The sequence below is a fragment of the Homo sapiens genome, chromosome 18, assembly GCF_000001405.40.
Source record: "Homo sapiens chromosome 18, GRCh38.p14 Primary Assembly".
Classification (NCBI taxonomy): Eukaryota; Metazoa; Chordata; class Mammalia; order Primates; family Hominidae; genus Homo; species Homo sapiens.
In genome coordinates, this window is record NC_000018.10 from 75046640 (window position 1) to 75061961 (window position 15322).

General features: G+C 43.4%; 1 protein-coding gene across 2 annotated transcripts in view, besides 1 other annotated feature; it reads left to right on the plus strand.

The window, feature by feature from the left end:
* Nucleotides 1-15322, plus strand: part of ZNF407 (zinc finger protein 407) — a 467802-nt gene that overhangs the window by 448770 nt on the left and 3710 nt on the right. The gene's annotated exons all lie outside the window — the stretch shown is intronic.
* Nucleotides 6761-7261: an enhancer, noted in NCBI's record as "H3K4me1 hESC enhancer chr18:72765356-72765856 (GRCh37/hg19 assembly coordinates)". NCBI's record gives its function as "activates a minimal SCP1, AML or CMV promoter by ChIP-STARR-seq in primed H9 embryonic stem cells {active_cell/tissue: H9 hESC(primed)}" and the evidence as "EXISTENCE:reporter gene assay evidence [ECO:0000049][PMID:30033119]".

Below are 15322 nucleotides of genomic sequence, written 5' to 3' on the forward strand. Positions count from 1 at the left end.
TGCGGAATGAACAGCATCCTCCTTTACTTCACTCCCTGGAGCGGCTGTGCAGAGAATCTGTGAGAATCAATCTCCTCCCTTCTTTGGCTTTTTGTTTTCATAGAGTTGAATTGAAGACAATGAAAAAAAAAAAAAAAGCCTTACCTCACTCCCTCCTTGCATGTGTTTTCTATGTAGATTCAAGCCCAAAAGTCTCTTGTCAGAATTTGGCATTTGCCTCCCGGATGTCCCTTGACCTCTGTCCTTCAATATATACTAGTCGAATTTAAGTCAAATAAATTATGTTCATGGCAGTTACTCTGTAGGTTAAAAAGTATCTGAAGAAAAAGGGAAGGAAACCTTCTATATTAATAGGGCTATATCCAAAATCTAAGCTAATTTTGATTTATCTATTAGAATATTTGGGATTCTGATTTGTTTATTTATATACATCTTAAAAATTGGACAATAAACCCAAATATTGAATAATACAAGCATGTTTTAAGAAAGAACTGAGCCCAGTGTTACAGGAATCAGTTTTTTGCTTATATGACATATTGGGAAACGGATTATGTATGGTTGATCTGTGGGGGTTTAATGACTAGCAGGACGATGTCAAAAATAGGAACAAAAAAAGCAAGTAGCATTGTTCTAGCCAGTAGGAGTTACTAGTAAAAGGAAGGCATAGAAAACAGAAGGTACTCATAACACTAAAAAAAGCAGGGACGGCCCTTCCTCCAGGGCTGCCGTACGAGTGAGGGAGTTACAGCAGCACCCAGAGCCAGGGACCCTCTGCCTTCTGCCCTTCTGCGGCCTCACGTTGAAGGTGACTCTGCTGCCAGCACCCTGGCCCAGCATACTGCAGTCATGTGGCGGCTTTTTAAAGCAGGTTCTGTAATAGAGGCTTTTCCAAGAGGATTTTTTTTTCCCTTCACTTTCTGTGTGCAGTTTACCTACTGTACTTCCTGGAATTTCTGTTAAGACTTTCAGATATTTTAGTAATACTTTTCAAAGCCTAGCTCCTACTAATAGACACCTTGGCACTCTGTAAATTAAGTAAGACAACAACTGTTAGATCACCAGCGTAATGCAAACGTACAAGCACAGTAATCAAATGGACATATATAAAAGCTGAGATGTATAGTGTCACTCTCTCTGTTTTGCCCTTTGGCAATTCTGCTTTGAGTTTCTTTCAGCCAGCAAATGAGGAATTAATTCGGTACTGTCATTCTGATTGTCTGGCTGCTGCAGGAAAGAGTGGAGTATCTTTGTTGAGAAAAATACCTGATGACGTTTAATAGTGAGTAGAGACGAAGGTAAACACATGAATGTCTGTATTTCCGCACACATCATGCCAAGTTTCACCTGCCTTTCTTTTCTTCGTTATAGTAATGAAGCCACTAATCAGACAGCCTTATATTGGTTTTTATATAGAATATGGCACGTGTTGGTATTCATAACTCGTTAACCACGTGCTCAAGAGGAAAATGACCAGAATCATAGACTCAGATCCTAATGCAGCTGAAGCTGACACCTGTCAGCAGCACCAGGCCTGTGCCTCGTCTCCCGGTGACCTGTACAGACACCGCCCTTTTTGCTCTCAATGGTATTCTGATTTCACTGATTAATTTCGTGGTCTTTCTGGTATTATGCGTCAGAGGCCTAATTTTTGTCTACATGGTATTTCTTTTTGGCATTTGCCATGGTTGGTCCCTCTCTTCTTTCTTCCCTTCCATGACCTCAGGTCTTGACTTTTTGGCTTTCTTGACTGGCTCTGACTGTCCATTCTTTGCCAGTGTCTCCTGGAGCTCCTTTGCTCAGCTTGGTTCTCAGCCTCCCACGCAGCACCCAGGTGACTTCAACCCTCAGGTGTTTGGGACTACCACCTGTATTCTCATCATAGCCAGAAATTTCCAACCCAGCCTAGCCTTCCCCTGGCCTGAAGCATGTTGCCAGTAATAACTGACAGGACTCTAACTCTCAGCTCGATGTGAAAACAAGAGATGCTTTCATGAGCCAATGACTGGAATCCTGACACTTTCTGTCTTTAAAAAAATCAACTAGATTATTTTCATCAACTTTATAACTATGTTTAAAATGTTTGTTTTGTTTTAGAATGACAAGATATGAGGGCCTGCTATTTGCAAGCATATATTTGCAAATAACATATTTTGCTTGTGAACAGTTATGATTCCTAAAAACTGAAAAAATTAAATTGGAGGGTGGGAAGGGGCAGAAGGGGTGAGCAGGCAGTGTTCAGGCTGTAGGGCCACCAAGCCAGAGTCAGCCAGCGAGAGGCTCCCTGGCTGGCAGGAATGGGCCTGGAGGGGACCCTTTTGTGGAGTCACCCTTGGCTGGCCTGGATGCAGTGGGGGCAGTGCTGCCAGCCACGCTCCTTGACAGGAAATCTGAGTGGTGAGTGCTCATGGCCACCTCGTTGTTTTTCCAAATAACACTGGCCGGTAGTATTTTTTTTTTTTGGGTGGGGGGGGGGTGGGGGAGTTGTTCGTCATGATCTCACTGTCAGCTGGTGTGATATATAATTGCACACAGAACTAGGCAGATTCAAATATCTGGTAATTGCCCAGAAAGTTCATGTTGTTTGCATTTGGAGGAACTGAGTATCAGGTAGTATGTTGGGTGGCTAAGAGCTGAAGCCAGAGATTGGCATCATGGAGCTAGGATGAATCACTTGATGTCAAACAGCGCAGCCTCCTGCTCTGGCAGGGTTTCACTAACATAGCCTGGGATCATACTTATTTGTCCGGTTCCTGAAGACATGTGGGTCACCGGCACTGTCTGCTCTGATAGGCCCACGCGTATTCAGCAGAACTTCTGCTCCCTGCTTTGGGAGTTCTAGAATCATAATCTAAATATTAGCAAGGACATTGGAGCCCCTGATTTGAGTCCTCTTTGCAGCATCTCCAAAAAGTGGTCGTTCAGGTTTTTTTAATAGGAGTCTCAATGCTAAGGCATCGCGTTTCAGTTTCTGAATCAGTGTGATTAAGGCAAAGTTTTCTTCCTATAACTTCCCTCTGCTGTTCCCCATTTTGCCTTCTAGAGCCATGCAGAATGAACCTGTTCTCCCTTCCACATGATAGTCCTTTAAGTATTCGTAAACTGAAGCCATTCTTTATGCATTTTAAGTCCCCAGTTATTTTTGTTTCTTTTCTCTATATTCATGGCTATTTGTCAATGTTTCTGTTAAAACTTGGAGCTCAAGCTTCAACATGACACCCTAAGTATAGTCTGAGCAGCTTATCATCATATTATTACCGTTCTTTGCCTGAACTCTGTACTTGTATTGATGTAGCCACATCAGTGTATTGATCCTACCAGTGGCTAGAACTTGGAAGTCATTTTCTGTCATACTTTGGGCAATTTTTTACTACCGACTGCAGGACTTTACATTTATTTGCATTAAATTTAATTTTGCTGTATGTATAATGTGGTTCAAATATTTTAGTCATACAAGATTATTTTGTATATTCATAGATATTAGTTACATTACATACCAATTTCAGGTGATATGAACTGAACTATAATGCATTAAACTTAAAATAATAGTAATTATTATTACCATATAATATATTACTGTTAATATATTGAGCCCTTCCTGTGTGTCAAGCACAATGCTAAGTATTGTACATAGGCTGTCTCATTTACTCTTTAAGAAAATAAGTATTATGTTACATATTTTATTGATTAAGAAAACAAGATTTAATAAATTTAAGTGACTGTCTAGAATTATGAAAAGTCTAAAATTTTATCCAGCTTGCAAATATTCTGCCACAGTTTATGGATACTGGCAGAAGACATGAGATTCCTGGGTCAGAGATAAAGGACTTTATTAATCACAGCAACAGCTGTAGCCAAAGGGTCAGCATCTGACCCAGTTTCCTGAGTCCAAACTCCCACAGGCTGACATGAAGAGGCCAGTGACATCTGTACACACAGTGGGTTGTAGTATAGGCAATGAACGCAGAATTCAGGGAGCCCAAATCTTTTATTACAAGGAGTAAGCTTGCCTGTTCTCTGTCCAAGAGGAGTACTTATTTTTATTATAATGAACAACGGATCAGTTTGCCCTTTGCTCTGAAAGAAGACACCCTCTTTCTCTTCCAAGGCTGATTTCTCTAGAAACATCCACGAAAAGATAATCTACAGTAAAGGTAGTCAGTGCCTCAGCTCACAAAAAGCACCAAAACACAGAGATCTATGGAGATTTCTCTTTCTATAGTAACTTCCAGGTGTCCTGAGGAATCAAACCCAAGCATGCTGACACCAGAGCTCATGCTCTTTCTCTTACCTGGAGGATGTTTTAAAGAGTAGTCAATCCTTCCTTTTTAGATTTGTCTTCTTTTTAAAGCAATACTTATTACGGCCTATTATATGCCAAGCACTGAAGATGCCGTGGCAAATAATAGAGCCCTGCACTCAAGGAGCTCTCGGTGTAGCAGGAAAGATGAGCACACGTATGGATAATTAAGATTCAGTGTGATAGGCTGGAAGTATGTACGACAGGCTGTGTGGGTGTCTACCTAATGTCTCTAAAACCCAAAGTAACTTTCAAATTAAATAAATATATAATTAAGACATATGTAAGTATCCAGTTGCTTATGGACCCATGTTAATGCTGTCACTTAGGACCTAGGTTTTTCTGTTAGGTTTACCCAGAAACTCTTTAATAGATGGTAAATGTGACAAACTACAAAAGCACCCGAGTGCATTCTTCCTGTGCTCACTTACGGAACCTAAAAATTCTACTAGTAGTCATGCAACTGATTATCACAGTGGGTATTTATTCTTCTAATTATAGTACTAAGTGAAATAGATCATTGCCTTTCTCTCCCATTCCCTGACTGTCTCTAAGAGCTCAGGACTGTCAGCAGTGGGATTTCGTTTCCCATCACAGTCACTCTTCATGAAGCAGAGTGATAGCAACAGAACCACATGAGCAGTGAAAGAAACATATTCAGGGTTCTAGAGAAGAGAGAATTGATATGCAATGGAATCTCTGAACCTTGGAGGTTTTAAAACTGTTCCAGTTCTTAGATATCCTACCCTTTAAAAACTTTAACAGCTCTTAAAGAATTAACAAGTGTTGCTCAAACATTGTGTGTCGGGACTTATTCCAGCCATGCTGCTGCTAGTCTGGGGGTCGGTCATCAGGTAAGGAGCTATGTGAGACATGTCCGAGGGGCTTTTCTCCAGGGAACTCCCTAAAAAGCAGAGACCACCACATGTCATCAGAACTCAGGCACTCTCATAAGTGAAGGCCAGGTTCATTTGACACACAGCCAGCTGCCCATTTGACATAGTCCTGAACATAGTTTAGAAAGGCCCGCCTACTTAACTCATGTCTGTCCTCCACCCAGAATGCCATAGATTCGCACTCAGGAGAGGCTCTGGGGAAGACCTTTGGATAAGGAACGTGATGAGGAGAATGGAAATGGAAGGCTACCCTTGTCAAACACCGCTAGCAGTGCTTGCATACGTGTGCATGTCCACGAAGGCGTGTGCTTGGGTGTGCTTAATTTTATGTATGCATGTGTATGTATATATTTCAAGAAAACATGGAAATGTTACATTTGATTAAGCATATAAAGTGTTTAAATTTTAGAAAATGGTATTAATAATTAGCCTATTATGCCCCATTGTATAATTACATTACCTCGCTGTTATCTGCCACAGGAGTCGCGCGCTTATGCTAGATTGCCTTTGCCCCTTCAGAATATTACGATGAGCCATTTTTTGAACCACAGCAAAAAAAACAACAACAAAGAGTGGGACAGAATGCCACTGCTCTCCCTCCATGAAGGAGCTCAGGGAGCCCGTCTTCCGGTCCTCCCATGTCCCTTGAAGATCCTCCACCAGTGTCAGGCCTGTAGCTTTATTTTTGGGACTGGGAAGTTCCGGCAGAAGAAGTGGCCCTTAGACATTCCACCCGAAAGCATTCCAAGTCCTGCCTTTCTAACCCCTGTTGAAGATTATGTTAAGTGGGCAACTGGTTGTGTGCCAAGTGGACTCAGGCGTCAGCCGCCTGATAGAGCTCGTTTCTTAGGTACCTGAGTTTGGATTACACATAATGAATTCAGTTTTCCACTTGTTCACGTCACCATTCCCACACAAAGTGCCTTCTGGGGGTGCCTGTGCGGCACCCGGTACACAGCTTTGCTACTGCTTTCCTGCACGTGCACCCGGGTGGAAGGACACATGTGCGTGGATGTCACTCCCTGATCAGCGTTCGGACCCATACCGCATGCTTGTTGCTATGTGTGCCTGCCAGCCAGCTCCTTTCAAACAGGCTTTTAGTGAAAAGGCGAAATAGTGTTGCCTGTTTAACAAAGCCTTTAATTTCCCTGATAAACTGCTAATAATTTTTTTAAAAGATAGTTTTCCTGTTTACGCCCTCTTGGAACACAGTGGAATCGTGTGGTCCTGTAATTGGCCCCAGCCCCATGACACATGATTACCTTATTGGACTTACTACCCTATTTTAAAAATCTACTGTGGAAATTTTCTGGAGGACTTCAGTGTGCCGTGCATAGCTGCTGAGATAGAATGACGCACTGTTCCCTCTAGACACAGTGAGGCCTTAGTGCCGGCCGCACCCAGGTCCCGCCTCACCCCGTCCTGTGCATTTCAGATGTGCACAGTGCACCAGGTGGACAGGACCCCGTCAGGTCTGGGCTCAATATTCATTTGGATTGTGCTTTCTAAAAGGATCTCCCTCTGAACTTCCCTTGCTTCTCAGAAAAGCTAGGTCAGGTGTGTGGAGGGAAACCACGGATACTGCCTCACCAAGCTGCCTGACTGTGGGTTCCAACAGCTGCCACTTCACTCAGGGTTTCCATTTGAAAGTTAGTTTCTATTCATTCTGCTCATTCCAGAGTCAGGGTTCATGCCTCATAGTTTGTCTTTTGTTTGATTTTTGTTAAGCTTTATTATCCCAGGGGTATGTTATTCTGTAGAGCCCAAGCCACAGATACTCTGCAACTTTCAAGAGGAATTTAACTTAGATATTTAGGAAAATGTTGAAAATGAAGATAGTAGTTTCTACTGGTTAGGAAGAAAATGCGTTATCGTTTTCTACCTTGACAATGTCAGCGTCCAGTCCGCCCACTCGGTCCTGCCGTGTGTAGAAAAGGCTGAGGCTGGGTGTGGCCTGGCACAGAGGCTCTCCCAAGTCCATCCAGGTAGATCCAAGGAAGGACTGAGGGCCATCGTCCCCTCACCTTCATGGCCCTGTGTCCTCCCCTTGACTTGCTCCGCGGTGACAGCTCCTGAGGCTTTGCTTCCCCCGCACCTGGCAGCCTTGCCCAGCCAGTGGTGGCCTCCTGCACCCTTTCTCCTGCTTTCATTTCCTGGACTCAGGGATTTCTGCGGGTTTGGATCTCCTGCCTCAAAGAGCCCGGGCCTTCCCGAGTTGCTATCCACAGGGTGCTGGAGGTCTCCTGGCACACACCAACTCCGTTGGAAAGAGCAGCCATGTGCCCAGCACATATGATTCATTTTAAGGCATAGAGAAGAAATCCGCATTGTTTCAAGTGTACACAAGCAGCTGCTATCGTTTGGCTATGAGCAGATGTTAGACCTCCGAAAGCTTTGCTGATCATTAAAATACTAACAGTTAGTGTTTTACCCCAGCCGTCGGTTCTGTTTACTGTAAATTTGATTTTAATGATGCCTCTGTGCGGTTACTGAGAAGCAGTTTGCTTTCTACCTTCATATGAAAGTGTCTACAATGAAGACAAATGTCTGTTTCCTCTCATTTCCTTGGGAACAATATGAAGATACTATAATATAAAGGAAATATAAACATGACTACAAAAGTGAATGTGGGTTTTTTTATAGGGTTTTGCCAGAAAAAGAAAAAGGAAAAAGTTGAATCTGTCTTGTTAGCCTTTTAAAGTAGCCTTGTTAGATGCATGCCCTCCAGGAGGACCGGCTGGGCTTATTTGCATAATTTTACCTTTTAAGGTATGTATAATGTGTACAACTTTTGAAAAATAGGCCTTGTCTCCTGATACTGTTTATCTGCATTGGGAGTTCATAGACTATCAGAGGACATTTAGGAAAAGGTGGTTGGGATTCCTAATTTCCTGATTCCATAAGAATGCCTATTCCAGTTTGTTACGTCTTTAAGTCAAACAGAGGCAGCCTTACAGTAAGCAGGGGGGCGCTATTTGTCTGGTAGAGTTTGAAGGTCTTCTGGAAGCCTCACTCCTGAGGGACTGACATTCCACAGCTCTTTTCCAAGCATGGGCTCCCCCCCATACAAAGCCTGAAGGGCACTGTTACGTGTTCTCAGCCATTGTCACTAATGCTCACACACGTGTCGGCACACAGGAGCAGAAGGCTTGCACTGGAAGGAGAGGCCAGGGTGTCTCCAAGAGGGACACCCCCCTTCCCATTGGCCAGGGCTCTGACCTCAACACCCGGAAATGTGTGCAGAGTGAGAGACGCACCCTATGTTGATACTGCATGGGTTCCCCTCCACCACTCCTCCCCGTGCTTTATTTCAAATAGGACTGAAGACTTTTGAGCACTTTCTGCTGGCACATCAACTGGCTGTTCTGAAGAAGTACTATTCATGGGTAAATGACTAGATCAGAGCCCTTCCCAGCCTAATTTTAAAGTGCCATCTCATCGCCCTCCATGAAACTCAATGACACTGTTTCTGTCACCTGAGTTCGATTTCCAAAGGTACATGGTTGTGCACCACGATCTCTCTGTGTAGCTCACAGGCCTCTGCCCAGCAGAGAAACAGTTAACCTCTGCCCTTCCTCTCCACCCCACAAAGCCCGTCAAGATAACCTTAAAGCACGCATTCTCATCTTCCTGAGTGAGATTTGTGTGCATCACCTCTATTACTGTTAGATCTTCATGCATGAAAATGATAATATAGACCTAAGGGTCTGGTATAATACAACATTTCTTAGGGTTTGTGACTTTAAAGGTAAAATATTGTCTTTTGTTCTTTGTCACTCTTCAGTGGCCATGGAAATATCTAGGCCCATGGAGACTATTCTTGGTAAAGTTAGAAACCTGCATGATTATGTATTTCCAACTCGAGATAAAATTTAGTCTTCATTTTTTGTGAATTTCCAGAATTCTTTTCAGGGGTTTTATATGATCATCTTCAGTTGCTGCCAGTGTTAAATGTCGCACCCATGGCAATTAAGAAAAAGGGACTAAAACTTTTGGTACCTAAATTTTTGCCCTGGTTTATTGTAAATGTTCCTTCACTAAAAATTGCATGGTATATCCAAAGAAATTGTGTATTTGAATGTATGTGAAAGAATTTTTCGGAAATGGTGTGAATCTCAGCTAATTTTTACAGAAAAGCAATTTCCCCATCTCTTCTTATAAAACAGCAGCGTCATGAAATGCGGGGCATGGCGAAGACTTTATATACTGTCCTCCTTCAACATATTTTTATATGTTTATATGTGGTATACAGCAGATAGTTACCAAAACTCCTTTTAATTATTATGCTATGATATGTCTAACTTGTCCTTAGGCCAGCTCCTGTCAGCTGACCAAAACTGATCTGTACTCTGAGATAAATCTCACTAGTTTAGCTACCATGTTTAACATGCATGTCAAAGGCTAAAAATAATTCTTAATCTTGTATTTCAAGTAACCTTTCTGTTTCTGTTTTGTGTGTGAATTTTAGTAACGCTGACCAGAATGTGTTTCTAACCATTGAAAATAATGGAGAAACATGAGGTACTGACCAACCAACCTGTGTTCTTAAAAACTTTTTTAAAAAAGGAGAAATTGCCATTTGGTTACTGGAATATAAAACTAAGAGGTTACTCTGTCCCATGTTATACCAGATTCATACTCTTTCTTTGATCCTAGCGAAGTCCCTAAACCACTTGATTGGAGTTTTCCCTTCAGGAACTTGAGGAAGTTCACATTGTTTAGTACAAGAAGTAGCTCAAAGGCAGGGAGTCCCCCGTAATATGTACCAGTGTTAACATAGAAAGCATCACTTCTTCAAAACCAGAGTCCAGTGGGAGCTCTGTAACAGGACATCTTGCATAATGCCAGGGAATTATTATTGTCTATAAGATGAATAAATTCTGGAGCAATTATTGAGATCAGTTTGACTGGCCAAACTATCGGTGACTGCTATTGTAAGAATAATGTATTCCCTGCTTTGAAATTTCTAAAAGGTTATATTTCATTGAATTTTAATTTGTCATTTTTCCTGCTTTCACTTGAGAAACTTATAAGCTTTTGTGACATTAAAATATGGCTCTAATTTATTAGCATAATCTGTTAATATTGTTTCATTTTAATAGACATTAAGTATGATTTCTTAACATTCTTGTTAAAATTACATCTTAAAATTGAAGCCAAGAAAAATTATATGTGGCTTAAGAATTGCAATGTCATGTGTGTCCCAAATTTTTATGTGAAAATTTTTTTAATCGCATCGTATTCAAGGTGCTTTCATTACGACAAGGAACCATCCCAGCATTCTCAAGCTTACTGGGCCTACGAAAATATAAAATCTAAAGTACATCCAGTGTCTGAGATGTAACCTAGCAATGTATCAACATTTAGTACCATTTCAGGAGAAGCTTAGAAATTTAAAATAAATGCCAACTCACAGCAACAGAGTGGTTTACATAGGATATTAGCACAGGCTTTTGTAGGCATTAGGCATCTCACCCCACGACACGTCTTTTTAATGCCATCTTTATCTGCTACGTGATGCATGAAATCTACTTTCGGTTTTAGAACTGCTAACAACCTTTGACCCCTTTAGTGGAGACACAATGTGACCTTTCTATTGTCATCAGCTTTCATTCTCCTGAAAATTCTATGAATTTTTATTACAAGTTTTTTTTTAAACCAAGCTGAGGCTTCCACAAATTACTTGCCACAGATGAGATGAAGTTGTTGAAGTGGTGTTAGATAAGTTTTACAGCCAGCACGTGTGCGGCCGAGGAGCCCAAGCCTGTGTCCTACAGTGTCATACACCAGTAACTGCTGAGCCTACTATTGGATAAATACATCATTTTAGGGAACATTGATTGTTCTATAAACCCAATGGAGTATTATGCTCTATGATCAAACCATTTAGATTGTGTGTAGAGCACAGAAAATGCCATATTCAGGATGGTACTAAAAGTGCCATTCGTGTATTTTATGGATGTCATTACAGGGGAAACTTCTCTCTGTAGGCCCTGTTTACTGCAAAATTTTTTAGTCTGTAATGACATTTTTCATTCACAACGTATGCCTTCAAGAGAGGGGGCCCTTGTTTTATTTTTTTCATTCGGGTTTACTGCACAAATTCTGTACATTTTAATTAAATGTAAGCTTAACAAAAGCGTAAGGTATTTATTCTGTGGGAACAAATGATGACAGTAAGGAAGGAGCAGCACACACACAGAGGAAGGAGTCAGGTACGCAGCCCTGTGCTGCTTCCCAGAAGCACACCAGCCAGCAGAACTGAGCCCCTAGCACAGTTTTGGGGAGCAAAGTCTCTGCAGCTTAACCCCTCCACCCCCGCATAATGGAGCTTGTGTTTTTCCACGCTGGAGATGTTGGCTTCAAGCACGCAGAAGGAGCTGCAGCATCATAATGGCATCCCAGAGCAGCGAGCCGAACTCAAAATCCTCTCCCCAAAAGCAAATCCTCAGACACCCCAGTAACTACCTTTTTATTCCATCCAAGCTGTGAACTTTCAATGCATTCGGCTCTGAGAAGGGAGTAAAATATCTTTGTGCTCACGAACGCAAACGGGCAGAAAGTGAGGACTTTGTAGATGGGCACGAGGCTGCATTTTAATGTCACTGTGCCTTCTACGCAAAGCTGCTTATTGCCCTGTTGAAAACAGACCCAAAAAAGAATGATTTTAGGCACACTGTTTGGTTAACTACTGTTACTGTATTGAAATCTGACACTGTCTTTTTTAAAGGTACCGTAATACAAATACTACATTGAGCATCCATGCCCCATTAAGGCTTTGTGCGATTTTGGACACATAACAGTGACTAAGCAGTGAAGGATGCAACCTGTACCACGTGCCTGTTTCCCAAACGCTGTATCCATTTGGCCATTTGCATTTGGTGAGCTTTACAGTTCATATTTACTAGAAAGAGCTCAAAACTGGAGGTCGATGTACCCAGTACATTCTTGGTCATAGCCCAGTTAGGGTTTAAAGTTATAGAAGAGATTCACATTCGTTTAAATGACACTTGAACTTCTACATAGCTCAACATTAATTCATCATGGTTGAAATGGAAGAATCTTCAGTGGGTGAATCTTTTTCAATCTGATTGAGGCTGTTACATTTTATAGGTGCTATTTTTCAAAGCAGTACTGACAGCACTCGAAGTTATTAAATTGCTGAATCAAAAGATGGACCCGCGCTCGCATTTATGAACTGTGATGGACTCGCTGGGCCTGTGCGTGTGCGGAGGTGAGGACATTGGTGTTGCTAGGCTTCGTCACACCCCACACCGACAGCAGTATTTACCCATTTAGTTTACATTAATGGTCTGGAAGTGGCTTAACCCACCTCTGGATTAAAATACATTCAGTAAGTAGTTCAGAATAGCATAATTATCAGTGCTGCAAGGGATCCAAAGGATAATTCTATACCCAAGAGATTTCCTGTCCAGTTACAAAGTAAAGAACAATTGCTTGGACTCAAGCATGCACCATTTCTTCCTGAGACTACTGAAGAAGAGGATGTTTGTTCTTTCCTTCCCAACTACAGTAGTTTCTCCTCTCTCTTAATGTACTGGCAGTATGTCCTTTTCTGTAATTAAAATTAATGGGGGAGGGGAATGACCAGAAGGCTGCCTTCTTTGTTTTTGTGTCCTTATTTCCGTTTTTTTCAAATTCTGAATTAGACTAAAAATGACATTAAAATTAGAGAACGGACAGAAACAAATCAAGGTTGACATGTGAAGATGGCGCTGGGTAGAAAAGTAGGGTTGGGGAGAAATTGCAAGCATACCAGAGAAAGAATGTGTCAAATACAGGAGACAAAGATCTAGAGGTCCTAGCAGATGGCAAACTGACCGGGGATCAGCCACACGGGCCCGGCTTATGCTCAGGCGGAAAGGAAGCATGAATACAGGAGCTGTGGGCGCCACCCTCTTGAGGCTTCTGACCTCTCCGAGGAGAGAATATAGGAGGATCAAAGTTTACAAGACAACCATGAGACAGGCAGCGATTCGGCCCCTGCCCGTGGGACCTGCACGCCCACCCTCATTTCAGCTCAGCTTTTAAACTCTGATCTTCCCTCGGTCAAGGCACCAGGCGGGGATGGACGCGGGTTGTTTCTTCTGCAAATTGGGAGGAGGGAGAAAGGCAGGTAGTCAGGAGCTCTGTCCCCAGACACGTGCCCAGGCAGACCCTTTCCAACCCTCAAAACTCCTTTGGAAAGTCTCCAGGCATTCACACGGCATGAGTACCACAGCTTGAATACCTGTAACTGCTAGCACCAAACCTCAGGAAGAGGAAGTCGTGTTCCGGAAGTGCCTGCTACCCGAAGCACACGTTGGGGCCAGCCGGCAGCCCCGTTTAATGCTACCCAGTTGTTCTCTGTCCTTGGTCGGGTGTAACCATGAGAAAACAGGGTGCGCTATAATTAGGGAATTTGTTAAGCTAGACTTACGAACATTTTGGTCCCTCTTCCGGGAAGGGTGAGTTGCCCTTGAAGACGCAGTGCTTTCCTCTGCCTGGTGCGTGAGGGCCAGGCCAGGCCTGGCTCCCCCCTGCGGTTCACTAGCCCGGCGGCATCTGCTCATGCGAGGTTTCCGTGGACGCAGAGCGAGTACACAGGAGTATCTCCTGGTAGTGGAGCTAGTCCTGGCTGGCCCTGCAGCTCTTTTCTTTTTTTTCTTTTTTTCTTTTTTTTTTTTTTTTGCGACGGAGTCTCGCTCTGTCGCCCAGGCTGGAGTGCGATGGCGCGGTCTCGGCTCACTGCGAGCTCCGCCTCCCGGGTTCCCGCCATTCTCCTGCCTCAGCCTCCCGAGTAGCTGGGATTACAGGCACCCGCCACCGCGCCCGGCTAATTTTTTGTATTTTTAGTAGAGACGGGGTTTCACCGTGTTAGCCAGGATGGTCTCGATCTCCTGACCTCGTGATCCGTCCGCCTCGGCCTCCCAAAGTGCTGGGATGACAGGCGTCGGCCACCGCGCCCGGCCGCAGCTCTTTTCTTGACAAAATTCCATACCCTTTCTAAGATTCACACTTTACAGAGTTGCCTGAGAAAGAAGATATATTAATTAGTACTTATCAGTTAATTAATACTTTCAAATCCAGGACCGTGTTCCTCCAGCCTGAGTAAGAGCTGGGCCATGTCCCCTTGGTAAACGTGATTTAACAATTTCTGCTGATCCTGCCTGAGATGCACCCACTGGAAGACAGGCCCTGTCTGGGGTCTGTGCTCAGAATTAACTCGGTATTGAAAGAAATGCTTTCTTGCAGAACACCACCAACACGATAAGCAAAATGGTTGACTCTGTTTTTAAGAGATCCTAGCAATAAATAATCTTGAACAGTTCTTGATCCTTTTTTCCCTTTTGTTAAGGTTAAAAGACGCTGTTAAGAAACTGACCCCCTCAAGGAGATTAAAGCAGAATATCTCAAAAATGTGGTTGCTGTTGAACTATGGAAATGTTTGCTGTGGGTCACCTATCGATCATTCTCTTATTTAGGAGGGATGGAGTCGATTAGAAAACCGATGGAAAATTGGGATTTAAAGAAGAAAACAGGAAGTCTGTTTAAAGAGCCCATTTCTTTTTTATGAAAATAAAGTTTATCATTTCCAGCCCTGTTTTATCCAGCAAGGCAGGGAGCAGCAGGCGTTGCCCTGAGTCGCCAGTGACATTGAGGAGGGTGTGATGTGCGCCTGGCCGTGTGCCCTCGTGCAGCGCCTCCCATCCCCGCCGTACTTGTGCCCCGCCAGAGTTTTCTTTGTACAGGATAGATGACAGCCGAAGCCCCTGGCCCGAGAGCTCTGCGATGGGCTCAGCGCTCCTGCAGCAGCCCAGGCCTTTCAGAATCCCACTGCCCACCCAAGCCCTGTGCTCTGCCTGCCTGTCCTGGGTATCCCGTTGACAAAGGGCAGACAGTGAAGGGCACAAGATGGCTCCAGACCAGGGGATGCACCCAGCTCCGGCTCTCCCCTCCTCACTCTCGTCCTGCTCACCCCCTCTTTTCTCTCCTGGTCTCCCCTTATTGCCTCTGCCCGGGCACCACGGGGCTTATGGTATCTTCTACACACGTTGTTTTCACTAAGGCATTTGGGGCTGGCACTTCAGATCGTAAATTTCTTACCCTCTGTTACAGTCCTGTAGTT